This window comes from Homo sapiens, chromosome 5, assembly GCF_000001405.40.
Source record: "Homo sapiens chromosome 5, GRCh38.p14 Primary Assembly".
NCBI classification, from domain to species: Eukaryota; Metazoa; Chordata; class Mammalia; order Primates; family Hominidae; genus Homo; species Homo sapiens.
The window spans coordinates 127,536,120-127,555,301 of NC_000005.10; the positions used below are offsets into that span (position 1 = coordinate 127,536,120).

General features: G+C 35.3%; 1 protein-coding gene across 2 annotated transcripts in view; it reads left to right on the top strand.

The window, feature by feature from the left end:
• Positions 1–18,966, top strand: part of PRRC1 (proline rich coiled-coil 1) — a 37,446-nt gene extending 18,480 nt beyond the window's left edge. Inside the window, exons 7-10 of one of the 2 annotated variants that reach the window (NM_001286808.2) lie at positions 2,921–3,024; positions 11,700–11,802; positions 15,588–15,759; positions 17,678–18,966. In NM_001286808.2, the coding sequence (NP_001273737.1) occupies positions 2,921–3,024; positions 11,700–11,802; positions 15,588–15,759; positions 17,678–17,766 (468 nt within the window). In that variant the 3' untranslated portion in view covers positions 17,767–18,966. Of the gene's footprint in view, positions 1–2,920; positions 3,025–11,699; positions 11,803–15,587 lie in introns of both variants that reach the window. The other variant, NM_130809.5, reaches the window with a different exon arrangement.
• The last annotated feature ends 216 nt before the right edge of the window (positions 18,967–19,182 follow it).

Here is a 19,182-nt window from a genome sequence, read left to right on the forward strand (position 1 = left end):
GCAAAGCTGCCAAAAGCACATGCACTTTGAAATGCTTCTTTTCTCTAGTAGGTTTCTCTTGAATTTGAGCCCTAGTATACATTGCCAATAAGAGTTTCTTTGGTGGTAGGTGTTTGGACTTAATAAAATTTAGCAAAGGTAACTGACGGCTGTAGGGTTTGAATTTAATCTAGAAATGAAAAAAAAAATACAGCAAATGGGTAAAATAAGTATGTATACATGATAATTGTACATTAAACTAGTTGTATATATATAAGATAAACCATAAGCATTCATACGGGCGATTTTTACTTGAAAAACTGGAACAAGTCACATACTTAGATTGAGAATGTATTTGAAGATTTCCCAAGAGGTTTTGCAAGTTGGAGAGAGTTTATAGGTCTGAGAAAGAAGACTTTTCAAGATTTAGTTGCAGAGAGTAAACTGAGGAAAATCCTAAGTAGAAATGATTATTAGACAAAATGGTGAGTACATTTCACTGAAATTAGAGACTAAAACAAGGGATTTCTGTAAATTGTGAAGCATTGTATAAATGTGATATGGAAGTTGGTAACCTTATTTGATGGAAATTATTGTAGTTGCATTTATCTTTTTATAATAGCATTTGACAGATTATTTTTGCTGCTGATTTTTATCCTTCAAATTTACAAATATGAATTCATTTTCCACAATTTTCAGTTCAAGCTCAAAACTAAAATTCATTGAAACTAATATATAAGAAAGTGATTTGTAAATTTGTCGGCTTTTTATTTTTTTTCAGAAACAGTAGAGGGAGCTAATGAGAAGAAAAATAATGTAGAGTCTTAGAGTATAAAATGGTAACCTGTTTTTGTTCTCCCCAATCAGATTTTATTTGAAGTAAATGGGTTTTCTGAACTAAACTTACGTTACCTTTTAAAAATAGGAAATTATTTAAGGAAGTAAATCAGTTCAGCCAAAATTAAAGTTAGGAAGCTTCTAGAACTTTTATGCCAAGTATTAACTTTATTGAAAAGCCAGTTGTAGTTATGACTACTGTTTTATATAGTTTTATATTCAACAAATATAATATCTATAAGCATTTATGAAAATATTATAAAATTTTAACTATTCACTGAACCAAGTTGCTTAGTATAAGCTCTTAGAGTACAATATTGTTCTTCAGTTCTGAAATGATTATTTTAATATGGTCTCTAAACTACCTAATTCTTGATCTCTTATATTGCTAAAAAATAAAATCTCCTTCTCAAAACATTGGTAGGGACTAATATTAAAATGTCTGTATTTGTAACTCCAAAAGAGGCCACATTTAATTAATGTAGTGGTCAGAGGAAAAAGAAAGGCCAGATATAACCCCATTTTCATTTTCTTATGGATTTTATAAACAAAAAAGAAATTTGTCTACCTAGCTTATTATCCTGTTTCTTGCAGGAACTAATTAATTTTAATTAAATGTTTTGTGAATCCTGTGAAATATAAAGCTCTGTGCTGTAGGATAGTGAAAAATGAACAAACTTAGTCTCTGTTCCCTGGAAGCATAAAATCTAGGAATATTTTGTTGTAGTGCATAGCTGAGATATCACCTGCAAAGAGTTAGGGGATGAATCTCTGTACATCTTACTAATCCCTTAATAGTTTTTACGGAATGAATGTTTACTTAAGCTTTTTAAAAATCAAACTTTAGCCATAACTGCTTCCTGGGAGGAGTGAATTAGGCAAATTTGTAACATCTGGTATAAATAACTAAGTTCATCTTATCTGTTAATACTGCTTTCAAAATCAACAGGTGCCTCTTTAAGTGTTATTAGATTTGGTGATGCCATATTTACACTATTTGTATTCTTAACATTGACCACATAGGCCTTCAGAAGCATTTATTTTTTTCTTTGTTCAGTTTTTTATGTGGTAAGTTCTTATTGAACACCTATTAAGTTAGGCACTGTGCTGGAAACTAGAGATAGAAGAGTGAGCAAAAATATACAATCTTGGTTTTATTGTACTTTAAATCCTATCATCTTCATCTTTACAAGCTAGTATCTTAAATTGTCTTACACGTTCTCGCACAGTTGTCACTTTCTCTTTTTCACTTCAGTTGTCTCTGAAATAAATTGAGTTTTCTCGAGATGTGTCCTAGCCTTCTTAATTTTCATTTGGATAAGAATTTACCATTTAATCTGATATTGTCTGTTTACCTCTGCTGTCCTTATAAAAATTATCCATGGCTACTTCTGTTCAGACTTCTTATCTTGCGTTTTGAACACATATTCATCACATTGTTCATGGTCACCTTTTATGAAAGGATTCAGATAAAAGCAATAAACAGAAACCTTTTCCCTCAGTCATCCAGCTTTTAGTTTTCTATTACATATAATCAGTTCATGTCTTCAATGGTAATTATTTTGTTGAATAAGCTGTGGTGTAATGTATACATTTGCAGCTTTTTATTTTAAGTAACTGGTCATTTTGGTGCATGTATATTTAAAAGGAATCAGAAGAAAGAGAAAAACATATTTATTATTGATATGATTGCCTACCTGAAAAATTCAAGAGAGAATTAACTGCAAAACTGCCAGAACTGATAAAAACTTTGTATGTAGTAAGATGGTCTCTTGCCAGATCAACATTAAAAAATACAGTTTTCTTAAATTATTTAACAGTAACAATCAATGAGAAAATGTAATATAAAAATAATCCACAATAGCAACCAACATCATAATGCATATGGAATAATTTGGAAGGTGTACCCCAAACTGTTGATACTACGGAAATGTAATTGTATTTTGTCATTTTTTACTCTACATTTTTGTATTGTTTGAACGTTTACAGTGAGTATATATATGTGTTTGCATATAAATGTATGCATGTATTGTGTAATCATAAATTAGTATATTTAATATGTAATAATTTGAAATGGTCTCTAACCTCTGCCATTGTTGTTTAGGGTGCTCAGGAACGGATAGATAGCTTGCGTCGAACTGGGGTGATCCATGAAAAACAGACAGCTGTGTCAGTAGAAAACTTCATTGCAGAATTGCTGCCTGACAAGTAAGTGTATTATGTTTCTCTTGGAAGCAAAATATAATTGGGTCTGGGAGTTGACACTGAATACTTAGCAAAAAGTGTCTCCTGTTTTATAACCAGAGAGAAAAGTATATTTTGATGCTGGCTATATCACTTAACTAGCTGTGTGTCCTGCATGGCTTAGCTGGCATTTCTATCCTTGTGTCTCTTTTTTAATTATAAAATGGAGATGGTCATGCCTGCTTTCTGAGATCATGCTAATAATTAATAAAATGGCACTAAGTATAAGATGATAGATTTGGTGTGGATATAATTGACCATGAGTAGCAAACACAATTATTCTCATAGTTATTCAAAGTCGTGGAATATATGGGCAAGAAGGCCTGATGGCATTCTCTAGGTTTGAGTTTCTAGTGAGCAGTATCTCTCCTGTACTCATAATAGTTTAGAAAAACCTCCAGACAGCATAATTTATCATTGTTTTTCAGGTGGCTTTTTATGGGAAAAATTTTTAATTTGCTTAATTGATTTATATTAGAATAACTTCCCTTTGTTGAAATCTACCTTCTTTTGTATTTGCATTATGGTTTTGTTGTTTTTATTTTTTATTTGTTTGTTCAGTGTTGAATAACAATGGGCATAGCATTTTGTGGCTTGTAATATGCAAAATATATCCTCCAACTTTGAGGCATATTATAGGCCAGTGGGAAAGAAGATATATGTAGTACACAGATGAGCAGTTTTAAGTAATTGTAAAAAGGAAACATAATTTTTTGCTGACAGGAAATATATAAAATTTCAGTGGAGGTAACTCTGTGGAGATAGTGTCAGGTGAAATTCATGAATAATTAGGGCTTGAACTGGATTTTGAAGAAGAGGTGAAACTTGGCCAAATGGAACAAAGGAAGTAGGATGTTCTGGGTGGAGAAAAAGTTTGAAGGTAATTGAAATGTATTCTTGGGTCAGTGATTATATCAACTTGGCTGAAGGTTTGTTGGATGGGAAATCAAGAGGTGACGGGACAAATTGTGAAGAGCTCTGAATTCTAGGTTGATAAGTTTCAACTTTCTATGTAAGCACTGAGAAACCGTCCAGTGATTGTTGTGTCATTTTTTTTTATTAACCTGTTACTGTTCATTTAATAATTAACATTAGAAATTACAATATGCCTTTTTGATATAACAAAAATTATAACTTGTGATAATACTAGTACTACTTTTAATACTATTCACTCCCTTTTCACCTTTTGCGGTATCATTGTTAAGTATTTTAATTCTGCATATATTTTAAGCTCTTAAGACATAACTGGTAATGTTCTTTGCAGTCAGTATTTGTTTATTCTCTGAATTCTTTCTTGCATTTCTGTTTTTCTGTCTGGGGTCATTTTTCTTCGAAAGGAAGCCTAAAGTACTTCCTTTGATAATACATTATAGTTCAGAGCTGCTCACTACCAATTCTCTCAGCTTTTGTTTATCTGAAAGTGCTTTAATTCACCTTTATTTTTGCTGGATGTAGAAGTCTAGGTTGGCAGTTTCTTTTCTTTCAGCACTTTAAAAATGTCATGGTACTGTTTTCTGGCTTCCGTCATTTCTGTTAAAAAGTCATCTCTCCATAAATGTTTTCTTTTGAGAAGTGTCTGTTCATGTCCTTCGCCCACTTTTTGATGGGGTTGTTTGTTTTTTTCTTGTAAATTTGTTTGAGTTCATTGTGATTCTGGATATTAGCCCTTTGTTAGATGAATATGTTGCGAAAATTTTCTCCCATTTTGTAGGTTGCCTGTTCACTCTGATGGTAATAGGAGTGGTGAGAGAGGGCATCCCTGTCCTGTGCCAGTTTTCAAAGGGAATGCTTCCAGTTTTTGCCCATTCAGTATGATATTGGCTGTGGGTTTGTCATAGATAGCTCTTATTATTTTGAGATACGTCCCATCAGTACCTAATTTATTGAAAGTTTTTAGCATGAAGAGTTGTTGAATTTTGTCAAAGGCCTTTTCTGCATCTATTGAGATAATCATGTAGTTTTTGTCTTTGGTTCTGTTTATATGCTGGATTACATTTATTGATTTTGTGTATATTGAACCAGCCTTTCTTCCCAGGGATGAAGCCCACTTGATCATGGTGGATAAGCTCTTTGATGTGCTGCTGGATTCAGTTTGCCAGTATTTTATTGAGGATTCTTGCATCCATGTTCATCAAGGATATTGGTCTAAAATTCTCTTTTTTTGTTGTGTCTCTGCCTGGCTTTGGTATCAGGATGATGCTGGCCTCATAAAATGAGTTAGGGAGGATTCCCTCTTTTTCTATTGATTGGAATAGTTTCAGAAGGAATGGTACCAGTTCCTCCTTGTACCTCTGGTAGAATTCGGCTGTGAATCCATCTGGTCCTGTACTCTTTTTGGTTGGTAAGCTATTGATTATTGCCACAATTTGAGATCCTGTTATTGGTCTATTCAGAGATTCAACTTCTTCCTGGTTTAGTCTTGGGAGAGTGTATGTATCGAGGAATTTATCCATTTCTTCTAGATTTTCTAGTTTATTTGCGTAGAGTTGTTTGTAGTATTCTCTGATGGTAGTTTGTATTTCTGTGGGATCGGTGGTGATATCCCCTTTATCATTTTTTATTGCGTCTATTTGATTCTTCTCTCTTTTTTTCTTTATTAGTCTTGCTAGCGGTCTATCAATTTTGTTGATCCTTTCAAAAAAACCAGCTCCTGGATTCATTAATTTTTTGAAGGGTTTTTTGTGTCTCTATTTCCTTCAGTTCTGCTCTGATTTTAGTTATTTCTTGCCTTCTGCTAGCTTTTGAATGTGTTTGCTCTTGCTTTTCTAGTTCTTTTAATTGTGATGTTAGGGTGTCAATTTTGGATCTTTCCTACTTTCTCTTGTGGGCATTTAGTGCTATAAATTTCCCTCTACACACTGCTTTGAATGTGTCTGAGATTCTGGTATGTTGTGTCTTTGTTCTCGTTGGTTTCAAAGAACATCTTTATTTCTGCCTTCATTTTGTTATGTACCCAGTAGTCATTCAGGAGCAGGTTGTTCAGTTTCCACGTAGTTGAGCAGTTTTGAGTGAGTTTCTTAATCCTGAGTTCTAGTTTGATTGCACTGTGGTCTGAGAGACAGTTTGTTATAATTTCTGTTCTTTTACATGTGCTGAGGAGAGCTTTACTTCCAAGTATGTGGTCAATTTTGGAATAGGTGTGGTGTGGTGCTGAAAAAAATGTATATTCTGTTGATTTGGGGTGGAGAGTTCTGTAGATGTCTATTAGGTCCGCTTGGTGCAGAGCTGAGTTCAATTTCTGGGTATCCTTGTTAACTTTCTGTCTCGTTGATCTGTCTAATGTTGACAGTGGGGTGTTAAAATCTCCCATTATTATTGTGTGGGAGTCTAAGTCTCTTTGTAGGTCACTCAGGACTTGCTTTATGAATCTGGGTGCTCCTGTATTGGGTGCATATATATTTAGGATAGTTAGCTCTTCTTGTTGAATTGATCCCTTTACCATTATGTAATGGCCTTCTTTGTCTCTTCTGATCTTTGTTGGTTTAAAGTCTGTTTTATCAGAGACTAGGATTGCAACCCCTGCCTTTTTTTGTTTTCCATTTGCTTGGTAGATCTTCCTCCATCCTTTTATTTTGAGCCTATGTGTGTCTCTGCACGTGAGATGGGTTTCCTGAATACAGCACACTGATGGGTCTTGACTCTTTATCCAATTTGCCAGTCTGTGTCTTTTAATTGGAGCATTTAGTCCACTTACATTTAAAGTTAATATTGTTATGTGTGAATTTGATCCCATCATTATGATGTTAGCTGGTTATTTTTCTCATTAGTTGATGCAGTTTCTTCCTAGTTTTGATGGTCTTTACATTTTGGCATGATTTTGCAGCAGCTGGTACCAGTTGTTCCTTTCCATGTTTAGTGCTTCCTTCAGCAGCTTTTAGGGCAGGCCTGGTGGTGACAAAATCTCTCAGCATTTGCTTGTCTGTAAAGTATTTTATTTCTCCTTCACTTACAAAACTTAGTTTGGCTGGATATGAAATTCTGGGTTGAAAATTCTTTTCTTTAAGAATGTTGAATATTGGCCCCCACTCTCTTCTGGCTTGTAGAGTTTCTGCCGAGAGATCTGCTGTTAGTCTCATGGGCTTCCCTTTGTGGGTAACCCGACCTTTCTCTCTGGCTGCCCTTAACATTTTTTCCTTCATTTCAACTTTGGTGAATCTGATAATTATGTGTCTTGGAGTTGCTCTTCTTGAGGAGTATCTTTGTGGCATTCTCTGTATTTCCTGAATCTGAATGTTGGCCTGCCTTGCTAGATTGGGGAAGTTCTCCTGGATAATATCCTGCAGAGTGTTTTCCAACTTGGTTCCATTCTCCCCGTCGCTTTCAGGTACACCAGTCAGACGTAGATTTGGTCTTTTCACATAGTCCCATATTTCTTGGAGGCTTTGTTCGTTTCTTTTTATTCTTTTTTCTCTAAACTTCCCTTCTCGCTTCATTTCATTCATTTCATCTTCCATCACTGATACCCTTTCTTCCAGTTGATCGCGTCGGCTCCTGAGGCTTCTGCATTCTTCATGTAGTTCTCGAGCCTTGGCTTTCAGCTTCATCAGCTCCTTTAAGCACTTCTCTGTATTGGTTATTCTAGTTATACATTCGTCTAAATTTTTTTCAAAGTTTTCAACTTCTTTGCCTTTGGTTTGAATTTCCTTCTGTAGCTCGGAGTAGTTTGATCATCTGAAGCCTTCTTCTCTCAACTCGTCAAAGTCATTCTCTGTCCAGCTTTGTTCCGTTGCTGGTGAGGAACTGCGTTCCTTTGGAGGAGGAGAGGCGCTCTGCTTTTTAGAGTTTCCAGTTTTTCTGCTCTGTTTTTTCCCCATCTTTGTGGTTTTATCTACTTTTGGTCTTTGATGATGGTGATGTACAGATGGGTTTTTGGTGTGGATGTCCTTTCTGTTTGTTAGTTTTCCTTCTAACAGACAGGACCCTCATCTGCAGGTCTGTTGGAGTTTGCTAGAGGTCCACTCCAGACCCTGTTTGCCTGGGTATCAGCAGCAGTGTCTGCAGAACCGCGGATTTTCGTGAACCGCGAATGCTGCTGTCTGATCGTTCCTCTGGAAGTTTTGTCTCAGAGGAGTACCCGGCCAGCCGTGTGAGGTGTCAGTCTGACCTTACTGGGGGGTGCCTCCCAGTTAGGCTGCTCGGGGGTCAGGGGTCAGGGGCCCACTTGAGGAGGCAGTCTGCCCGTTCTCAGATCTCCAGCTGCGTGCTGGGAGAACCACTGCTCTCTTCAAAGCTGTCAGACAGGGACATTTAAGTCTGCAGAGGTTACTGCTTTGTTTTTGTTTGTCTGTGCCCTGCCCCCAGAGGTGGAGCCTACAGAGGCAGGCAGCCCTCCTTGAGCTGTGGTGGGCTCCACCCAGTTCGAGCTTCCCGGCTGTTTTGTTTACCTAAGCAAGTCTGGGCAATGGCGGGCGCCCCTCCCGCAGCCTCGCTGCCGCCTTGCAGTTTGATCTCAGGCTGCTGTGCCAGCAATCAGCGGGACTCCGTGGGCATAGGACCCTCTGAACCAGGTGCGGGATATAATCTCCTGGTGCGCTGTTTTTTAAGCCTGTTGGAAAAGCACAGTATTTGGGTGGGAGTGACCCGATTTTCCAGGTTCCGTCTGTCACCCCTTTCTTTGACTAGGAAAGGGAACTCCCTGACCCCTTGCGCTTCCCGAGTGAGGCAATGCCTCACCCTGCTTCGGCTCGAGCATGGTGCGCTGCACCCACTGTCCTGGGCCCACTGTCTGGCACTCCCTAGTGAGATGAACCTGGTACCTCAGATGGAAATGCAGAAATCACCCGTCTTCTGCGTCGCTCACGCTGGGAGCTGTAGACAGGAGCTGTTCCTATTCGGCCATCTTGGCTCCTCCCACAGTAGCTCACCATCACTGGCCATCAGAGAAATGCACATCAAAACCACAATGAGATACCATCTCACACCAGTTAGAATGGCAATCATTAAAAAGTCAGGAAACAACAGGTGCTGGAGAGGATGTGGAGAAATAGGAACACTTTTACACTGTTGGTGGGACTGTAAACTAGTTCAACCATTGTGGAAGTCAGTGTGGCGATTCCTCAGGGATCTAGAACTAGAAATACCATTTGACCCAGCCATCCCATTACTGGGTATATACCCAAAGGACTATAAATCATGCTGCTATAAAGACACATGCACACATATGTTTATTGCGGCACTATTCCCAATAGCAAAGACTTGGAACCAATCCAAATGTCCAACAATGATAGACTGGATTAAGAAAATGTGGTACATATACACCATGGAATACTATGCAGCCATAAAAATGATGAGTTCATGTCCTTTGTAAGGACATGGATGAAATTGGAAATCATCATTCTCAGTAAACTATCACAAGGACAAAAAACCAAACATCACATGTTCTCACTCATAGGTGGGAATTGAACAATGAGAACACATGGACACAGGAAGGGGAACAGCACACTCTGGGGACTGTTGTGGGGTGGGGGGAGGGATAGCATTAGGAGATATACCTAATGCTAAATGATGAATTAATGGGTGCAGCACACCAGTATGGCACATGTATACATATGTAACTAACCTGCACATTGTGCACATGTACCCTAAAACTTAAAGTATAATTTAAAAAAAAAAAGTCATCTCTCCATCTTCTTGTGTATTGTCTCTGTGAAGATAATATGTTGTTTTCTCTGGCTGCTTTTAGGATTTTCTCTGTCGTTTTATTTTTTGCGGTTTTAGAATGGTATGATTATATGTATTTGCTTGCTTGCTTGCTCTCATAATTATTTTTTGTGGATTCGCTGAGCTTCTTGATTCTGTGGATTAATATCTTCAGTTTTGGAAATTCTTTACAATTATGTCTTCAAAACTTGCTTCTGGCCCATTTCTCTCCCTTCTCTTTGTAGGACCTTAATTACATGCCCATTCACCTTTGACAGTGTCTCACATTGTCAGGTTTTTTCCCCCACTCTTTTTTTCCTCTCTGTTCCTTAGTTTTGACATTTTCTATTCACCTGTCTTCAGGTTCACTAATCCTGCCTTCTGCTGTGTCCAGCCTGTTGTTAAACTCTTACATAGAGTTCTTACCTTTTAAAATGCAGGTTCAATTTATCTTTTGAATGCCTGTATCTTTAAATGTAGTTGAACTGTCTTTACCTCTCTTTTCTTGACTATATGAACCATAGTTAACTTTTAAATCCTCATCTACTGATTCCAATATCACGGTCACTTGTGGTCTGTGTTAGTCTCCTTTTTCCTTTTGGTTTGAATATATGGTGCTGTCTCTCTGAATGCATAGTAATCTTTGAAAACCATTGTTTAGAAAACAAAACTCTAGAGTCTTTAAGTGATCTTGAGAAGGTTCATCCTTTCCTCTATAATAATATACACAATTGTAGGGGTGTGAGGAAGGGGAGGGTAATGTAGTGTACTTCAGTCACAGTCTGAGCTGAGTCAAGTCTAGGTCGGTGTTCTAAGGTATATTCACTGGCATCATAGAAAAAACTTTCCTCATACCTTCAGTAACACTTTTTAGGATGTCCACACCTGAAAGCTTGGTTAGTATGTTATTCACCATAGAGATTATTGTCTGCAAATTATGCAAAATAAGGCAAAATAAAATTTAGCTAAGCTCGACTTTATGGAGGCTTCACAAATACATTATCTTGATTGAGAAAGTTGTAGTAAAATACAAAATATCTATTAGTCTACCAAATAAAATAAATGTCATTATTTAATGTTTTTAATTTTAAAGTTTTAGGATATGAACACTATAGACATTATAAAGTGCCATTTTAGTATTCAGCAAAGTTATTTATGTTACTGTATATTTTACTTTGTTGTTTTTTTGAATGTGTAAATAAAAGTCTCCTAATCCATTTTATATTTCATTGCATTTTATTAGATTTACATTAAAAAATAGGCATTAAACATTTTCCTGCTTCATATCCTTTTATTGTTTAAATTCATTTTTGAGGGTATCTGGCTGTTTCATGATTTGGGTTAGCTAAAATTTGGGTGGTACTACAGTTGTTTTCAATAAAGTCATTTTTAAAATTTATCATTTTGTATGATATATAAGTCTCTTTAAATGAAGAGAAGTTTCCTGGATTTCATGAGGCTGTTTTCAAAGACTGACTCATTGTGAATAATTCAGAAATTGTGATTAGAAGGATTTATTATTAATGAAGAGAGTATTTGTTATTATTTCCTCTGAGCTTATTTTTTAATTTGTTAGTAACTTAGTTGAGTACATATTCATGATAGAGTTTGTATTATAAAATTTCCCATATTTTAGCAAGTGACAATTGAAAAATATTACTCATAAGCTGTTTGCATATTCAATGTATGTAAATTTACCTGTTGCATATTTGAGTACCCTTACTTTGATTATTCTCCCTTCCCATGGAGAGGAAGCTTTCCATGATAAGTATTTTTAAATTTTTTTTCTTTGTGGTTATTGTCTTTTTTCCTCTTAGAATTAATACAGAGTAATTTTATCTGTTGTTTTTATGAATTGTCCTTTTGCAAGTTGGTAAGAAAAAGATTTCCTTTTTGAAATCTGTTCTATCTGAATAATAGTACTTGTTTTTTCTTTTTGTCTATTCATGATAAGTTTTATTTGGCATATAAACCATTTGAAACTCGTAATTCTGTTGCAGATGGTTTGACATTGGTTGTTTGGTGGTTGAAGATCCTGTCCATGGCATTCATCTAGAAACATTTACACAAGCCACACCAGTGCCTTTGGAATTTGTACAGCAGGTTGGTTTTCTCCTTTGCTTTTTCATTATGCTCCAGAGAAACTTACACTATTGTTTTCAGAATAAAAATTTGTTCGGTTTTTTTGTTAGAAATATGTTCTTGATTTTGTTTCAGTCATTTTTCTTTTAGTATTTTTCTTTGCTTTTTAATTTCCTGATCCTTCCATGTTGTTTTAGTACCTTCCTCCTTTTGTTTTCCAGGTGTCTTTGAAAGGTAATACATTACATGGTTAATCATTATTTCTCTCATTTTTTTCTTTGTTTTTACTCTGAGTTCTGGAAAAGATTTACCTTTTCTAGTTGTTTTATGTCCGCCTTTCGTTTGCTTTCCCTTTTATCTCACATTTCATTTCCACTGTTATCTCCATTTCCCTTTTCCTTGATTGATTGTCCTCCTGTTCATCTTTAGTGAAATCAACATTAGAAACCTTATAGGCACGTGTCTTTAGGTTTTTGGCTGAAAAATGGACCTAATAGTGTACCTATCCACACAGTTTCCAGGAGAATGTAAGTATAAATGATAATCCTTATTCCTCTTTTTTTTTTTTTTTGGTGTGTTTTCTCTAATCCTTTCATGAACAAAATGGAATATAAATATATACTTGCATTGGAATCTCTGTGCTCTTAAGTGGTATTCTATTGACTTTTTTCTGTCAATTTCATAAAATTTTTGTTACAGTTGTAGTTTGTACATTGTTAAATATCATTTCAAAACTGCCTTTCAAACTTATTTGGGACATGAAGACATTTGAGAATCTAAGAAAACTATTGGGCTGTCTCCCAAGAAAAATGCGTGTATGTGTACTTTCATAGAACTTTGGCATATGTGTTCACATAATCCCTAAAAGTAACCTCTGGCCTACTTATTACAGTTTAGAAAGGGGGCTAAGAATTGATGCTTGGAATTTGAAATTTTACTGAAACTTTTATTTATACCGTAATTTCTTTTCATAAGTTCAAGAAAACCTTTTTATAGATATTAACATTACACTCATTTCAATATGAAGGTGATTAAAAGACTGTAAGTGAATACTATGCATACTGTTATGCCAATAAATTAGAAAAATTAGGTGAAAGAGTGGATTTTCTAGGAAAATAGAAGTTTTGCCATAGTTAAGAGTATTAGGTTGAACCAAATGACGTTGTTGCCTTTGATGGTCAGAAATAGTTATATATTGTCAGTTTCATATGATTCAGCTTAATTGAAGCATTAAAATGGAAGAACTTTATGTAACTAAAAAAAAAAAAATCACTGAGTACCAATGGTGTTACAAGTGAGTTCTACAAAATGTTCAGAGATGATTTGCTGTATGAGGTATCAAAAATAGAGGTAGAGAGTTTTCCAGTTCATTCTGTGAGACTAGCCTCTTTTAACTTTAAATGAAATTATAGTCCAAAGAACTAAATGTCAAAACCATTGGTAAAATTAATAAATAAAATTCAGAAATGTATTAGATGAACATTGTATCCTGACCATGAAAAATTTGTCCCAAGAACAGCAGAATGGTTCAACAATAGTAAATTTATGTAATTCAGTACATGAACATCTGCATTGAAAGGAGAAAAAAGATTTTGATAAGAGTTGAAGGTATTTGCTAGAAATAATCATACTAATAGCTCTTAGTATTAGACGGGTATGTGTGTACTACAAAATCAAAGCAAACTTCAGATCTAATAAATAAAACACTGAAAACGTTATAATTATGAGGATGCTCCTGTCACTGCCACTGTTAACATTGCTGTAGATCTGGGGTCAGCAAACAGTGGCTCACAGCCAAATCTGGCCTGTCATCTTTTTGTAATTAAGTTTATTGGAACACACCCATGCCAGTTTGCTTACTTATTGTTTATAGCTGCTTTTGTACTATAGCAGCAGAAATGAATAGTTGCAACAGAGAATGTCTGGCCCACAAAGCCTAAAATATTTACCATCTGGCTCTTTTCAGAAAAAGTTTGCTGACCCCTGTGTTAGATATCTGACCATTGCAAAGGACAATTTTTATGTTGTTTTTAGGAATATATACTGGAAAGAAGTAGACATGAAAGAATGAAGTGGACTCGTGTGTACCAGTACCAAAAGATAGCTATTACATATTGCTGAGTAAAAGTCAAAAACAGCACATCTAGTATGATCCCATTTACTAGCAGGCGTGTGTATGTGTGTGCTTTAAAATTTTAATAAGAATAGGGAAAAAGGCCTGGAAAGATAACACAGCAAACTGTTAATAGTGGTTAATTCTGAATAATGGTATTTAAAGGGTGTTATTTGCTTTTTACTTTGCTTTTTATTCTGTTTGTTTTATTTTGTGTCATTTGGTTTTAAAATTTAGAAGATACAAAACTGTGTGCATTGAAATGTCTTCTTTTTATCCTCAGCTATTCAGCTCTCCTCCCTGTTTCTTTTTATTCATTCTAAAATGTTTTATGCTTTTTTATTGTTGGAATTTTTTAATTTAAGGTAATGGAAATCAGCCCTTCAGGTAATTAGAATTATCAGTATATATTAGTAAAAATCTGGAAATAAATTTCATACAATTTGTACTTGTTAAACTTAAATATAAATGATTCCTCACCCCCATAAAAAACCCCAGCTGTTCTGGATTTTTGCCAATAATATAGAATACCTTGTTTCTAAAAAGTGTGGTCCTTGGCTTAACATCATAAGCAGCACCTAGAAATTTGTTAAAATGCAGATTCTCGGGTCCTAACACAGGACTAGTGAATCAGGAGCTGCATTTTAACAAGATATTCAGGGGATTCATAGGCATGCCATAATTTGAGAAGCACAGTGTTACTGGTGTCTCTGAGGACGTTAGTAGTATATCTGCTGTTTCTCTTTGAAATATAGTGAAATACTGATACTGTAGTATACACATTGGAAGAGAGTACTTAGAGCAGGGGTTCCCAAGTGCTGGACTGTTTGCATCAGATTGACTTGGAAGCTATTTTACGTACGTAATACTGTACTGTTTCTCTTGGAACCAGCTGTAGAGTTTCCAATTCAGTTATCTTGGTGTCTCAGTTATCTTAGTGGGATGTGAGAAACTGGATATCGTTAAAAAAGAAAAAAGAAACAAGAGCTCCTCAGGTGATTGTAATACATGGCACATTTGGTAGTCATGTATAACTGTATAGATCCGTTCTAGATGTGGCTATACTTCTCTGGACTATACCTAACACCCTAAAACAGAAAAACCACATCAGTCTTGGATATCAAGCAATGAGTTTATTCTTCTGTCATTCCTTTGTAGATGAATAAATGATTTGAATAGGAGCAAATATGAGTTGGGTCAATTAGGAATGTTGCATCAGTGGTTGATGTTGTCCAGGACTGGATATTACTTGATACATATTAACATGTGAATCACATTTCCAGAGAGAATTTCCATAATTGAGCAATTCTTTTCTGAATGGATTTAAGCCTTAATTTTCAGTTTTCCTCTTTCTGGTTGAAATTTTACTACTATAAAAGATAACTTTAGCACTGATTTTAGTACCAATCTTATTATTAACCTGAAGTGACACTTAATTTAGAACTAGAACTCAAACCTTCCGACTGTTAGCCTCGTTAATGGGGATATTTTTTAAAAAATAGATGTGTGTAATGTTACATTGATTGTGTTCTAGCCTTGTAAGTTGATATAGTTGGCAGCCTAGCTGTATTTCTCAGAGTTTGTCATAATCTATATTTAAAATAACATGAAACACTTTGAAATGTCACTTATAGCTAGTTCCAATGATATTTTTAAATGTATTATAAGTAATATCAATTTCATCTTTCCACAGGCTCAAAGTCTAACTCCCCAGGACTATAATCTGAGGTGGTCAGGCCTTTTGGTGACAGTGGGTGAAGTCCTGGAAAAGAGTTTACTGAATGTCAGCCGGACTGATTGGCACATGGCATTTACTGGGATGTCCCGTCGGCAGATGATCTACAGTGCAGCCAGAGCGATAGCGGGCATGTATAAACAGCGCCTGCCACCCAGGACAGTGTGAGAGGAGACCTACCTGGGAGACTGAGACTTTCCCCCACTTTTAGCTTGATGTTAAAGAAGTGGTTGTACCTTCCTAAATCGAATAGTCTAAATGAATCCAGTAGTTTTTATCATTTTCCTGTAGCCTGCAATTTTTCTTTCTCTAGAAAGGCATCATGTCATTCCAGGAGACAAAAAGAAACAAATCCTTTTTATAGTCATACCATTTCACCTATCATAGTACTCAAAAAAGAAAATATACAAATCTATTTACAGCACAATTTAATATACCAGATTTATAAGGTGGAAATTCATGTGCAGAGACATTTAACTTAATGCCATGTACTTGATTATTTTGTTCTTTAAAGAAGACATTATTAAAGAACATGTTGGTTGAATGTTTATAAAAGCATGATTTGCTTTGGCTTCATCTCTTTTCTGTCAGTCTTTGACTACTTTTGTATGTGCACACGATCTCAGGGCTGGTGCTGAGCAGCCTGCTCAACAGTCACTATAAGACACCTACTTGTCGGGAGATGTTCCACATTTCTGTGCATGTTTTCAGTAATATGGGCCAAAATAATGGAATTGATTATTTTCCTTTTTGGCCATCACGTACACATGTAATCTGGAAAATCATACCTTTGTCAATTTTAAACATAACTTTTGGCATTTCCCAGATTTATACTATGAACATTGGGGTAATACATTTTATTTTTTCATTGCTATATGACAGCTAAGGGGCAAATGATTCAAGTATATTTTAAATCAGAAGTATTCAAATTATTTTTGTATAATACTGTTCAGTACTTCCAAGAATAAGCTCTGACAACAGCCATTGTTTCTGCTTCCACTCATATTCTCTACACATTTTAATACAGAAATTTTTGAGAGGGGGTTACTTTATTGCTTGTGGGTTAGTATGTCTCTTACTTCAATTAAGGTTACTTATTTGGTTTGCCTTAAGCATTACTTTTTTAACTTTGTGCCATTTGGTCTTTACTTTTTATGGATGTTTTCAAAGAAACTATTTTATATTCAATCTAGTTTATTTAGTCTACTGTATTTCTATTTCGTGGAAGCCTTTTCCCCTCAAATAATATATTATATCATTTTTGGACTTATATAAATGATAATTAAATAAATTTTTTTCTTAATACTGTTGGACTTTGTATATACAAGTTCAAATAACTTTTTCGAAGATAGTTTCTTATATAAATGTAATTTAATTTTTTTACTCTTCTATACAGTTCTTTAGATGTAAAAGAATTAGCACAATCTCTGGCAGTTTTATAAAAGCTGTTGAAGCTCTTGTCCTGCACTGTCTTTAGGTATCATAGGTATCAGGTTTGCTTTGTGTTAATGCCACTTCAAGTCATTATTTGGTTTCTGCTATTTTTTTACCTGAGGATAAGAAGAATGAATATTAAATTTGAATATTAAATATATGTTACTTTCCAAGCACTGTATAATGACTGTTCAGTGAATATCAGACTTCCGTGTCATTAAAAGTCATGAGAGACAGCACAGAGAGGTTATAGGTTGCCTTGGTGTACTTTTGTCCAGGAGTAACAGGGACAGAATACTTTCTTTCTTTCCTTCAAGTACAAGAAGGCTTTCTCTACCATTTGCGTCTACACTTTATTTTAAAAGCTATCCTTTTCTAGTAGTATTTTATCATGGCAATGGCATGATGACAACAACAGTCTTTCATTACAGACTGAAGGGAAGCATGTCCTTACTTAAAATAGTTCTGCTACTTTCCCTCCTATTATAAGGAAATCTTACAGATTCTAAAAATACCTTAATTTTTCTTTGATTTTTATTTTACCAAGTCACAAATGTCTTTTTGATGTTTTGAGAATTGTTCTCATAGAATCACAAATACTGACATTTCATTAGATGATTATTTTCCTAGAATCCCCAAAGAGCAGTGGCAGTCCATGGCTTGGTTGAAGCTAGAAATTTTCCTGCCCCTGGTGACCTGGTAAGCCTCCTGCTCGGAACCGTGTGAGTGGGTGAGGAAGATGAGAGATGGTCAGATGGAAGAGAGAAATACATGAACTGCTCTGGCCTCTCTGGTTCTGTTCTTGGCCCAGAGTTTTTGAAAAGCAGCGGAGCATGACTGACTTCACATGCTCAGCTTTCTCAGCCTTTTGTTTATTTTGTTGTCCTTAGATTTCCCTGTTGTAAAAGGGGCAAGAAAAGTAACTCATCATCTCTAACACACCATGGCAGCTTAGCCAGGTAGTCTTAGTGGTGGTGTTTAGGCATAAGATATGCTGATCATCAGTCTCAGGCCACAGTTTCCTTCACTAATCGTCCAGCTTGAGTGTTCTGTTCTCTTCCTGCCCATTTCCTTGAACCTCCTGCTCTAGCCTTGGCGGAGGGAGAGTGCTATTTGCTTTTGTTCTCCCTCTGTCTTAGGAAAAGCCATCTTTAATATAGTTCTTCACCACTGTTGGGGTTGTTTTGTGATTTTTTTTTTCTTCCGAAGAACTCCTGGTTGTTATTGGATTTTGTATTTTAATACAAATTATTGAATTTTATAAGCTTGTACACAATATTTAATTAGTGTGAAAGGAAACAAAGAATGCAGGAAAAATAATTTAATATCAACCTCAGTTGACAAGGTGCTCAGATTATTCAATTCGGGATCCTCCTTTTGTTAGGTTTTTGAGACAACCCTAGACCTAAACTGTGTCACAGACTTCTGAATGTTTAGGCAGTGCTAGTAATTTCCTCGTAATGATTCTGTTATTACTTTCCTATTCTTTATTCCTCTTTCTTCTGAAGATTAATGAAGTTGAAAATTGAGGTGGATAAATACAAAAAGGTAGTGTGATAGTATAAGTATCTAAGTGCAGATGAAAGTGTGTTATATACATCCATTCAAAATTATGCAAGTTAGTAATTACTCAGGGTTAACTAAATTACTTTAATATGCTGTTGAATCTACTCTGTTCCTTGGCTAGAAAAAATTATAAACAGGACTTTGTAGTTTGGGAAGCCAAATTGATAATATTCTATGTTCTAAAAGTTGGGCTATACATAAATTATTAAGAAATATGGATTTTTATTCCCAGGATATGGTGTTCATTTTATGATATTACGCAGGATGATGTATTGAGTAAAATCAGTTTTGTAAATATGTAAATATGTCATAAATAAACAATGCTTTGACTTATTTCCAAAGTTGTATAGCGATTTTTTTTTTAAATGCTAGTTTATATTGAAAGGACGCATATTTCTTTTTACCTAAATTTGTTACTGGCTGCCAAGAATTCTTGTACAACAGCAACTTAACCACCATCTTTCTAGTGGAACTGTAACATTCACATATACCAGAGTTGCTAACTTCAGGGTGCAAGAACTCAAAATATTTAGAGGAGAGGATACATTGGAGA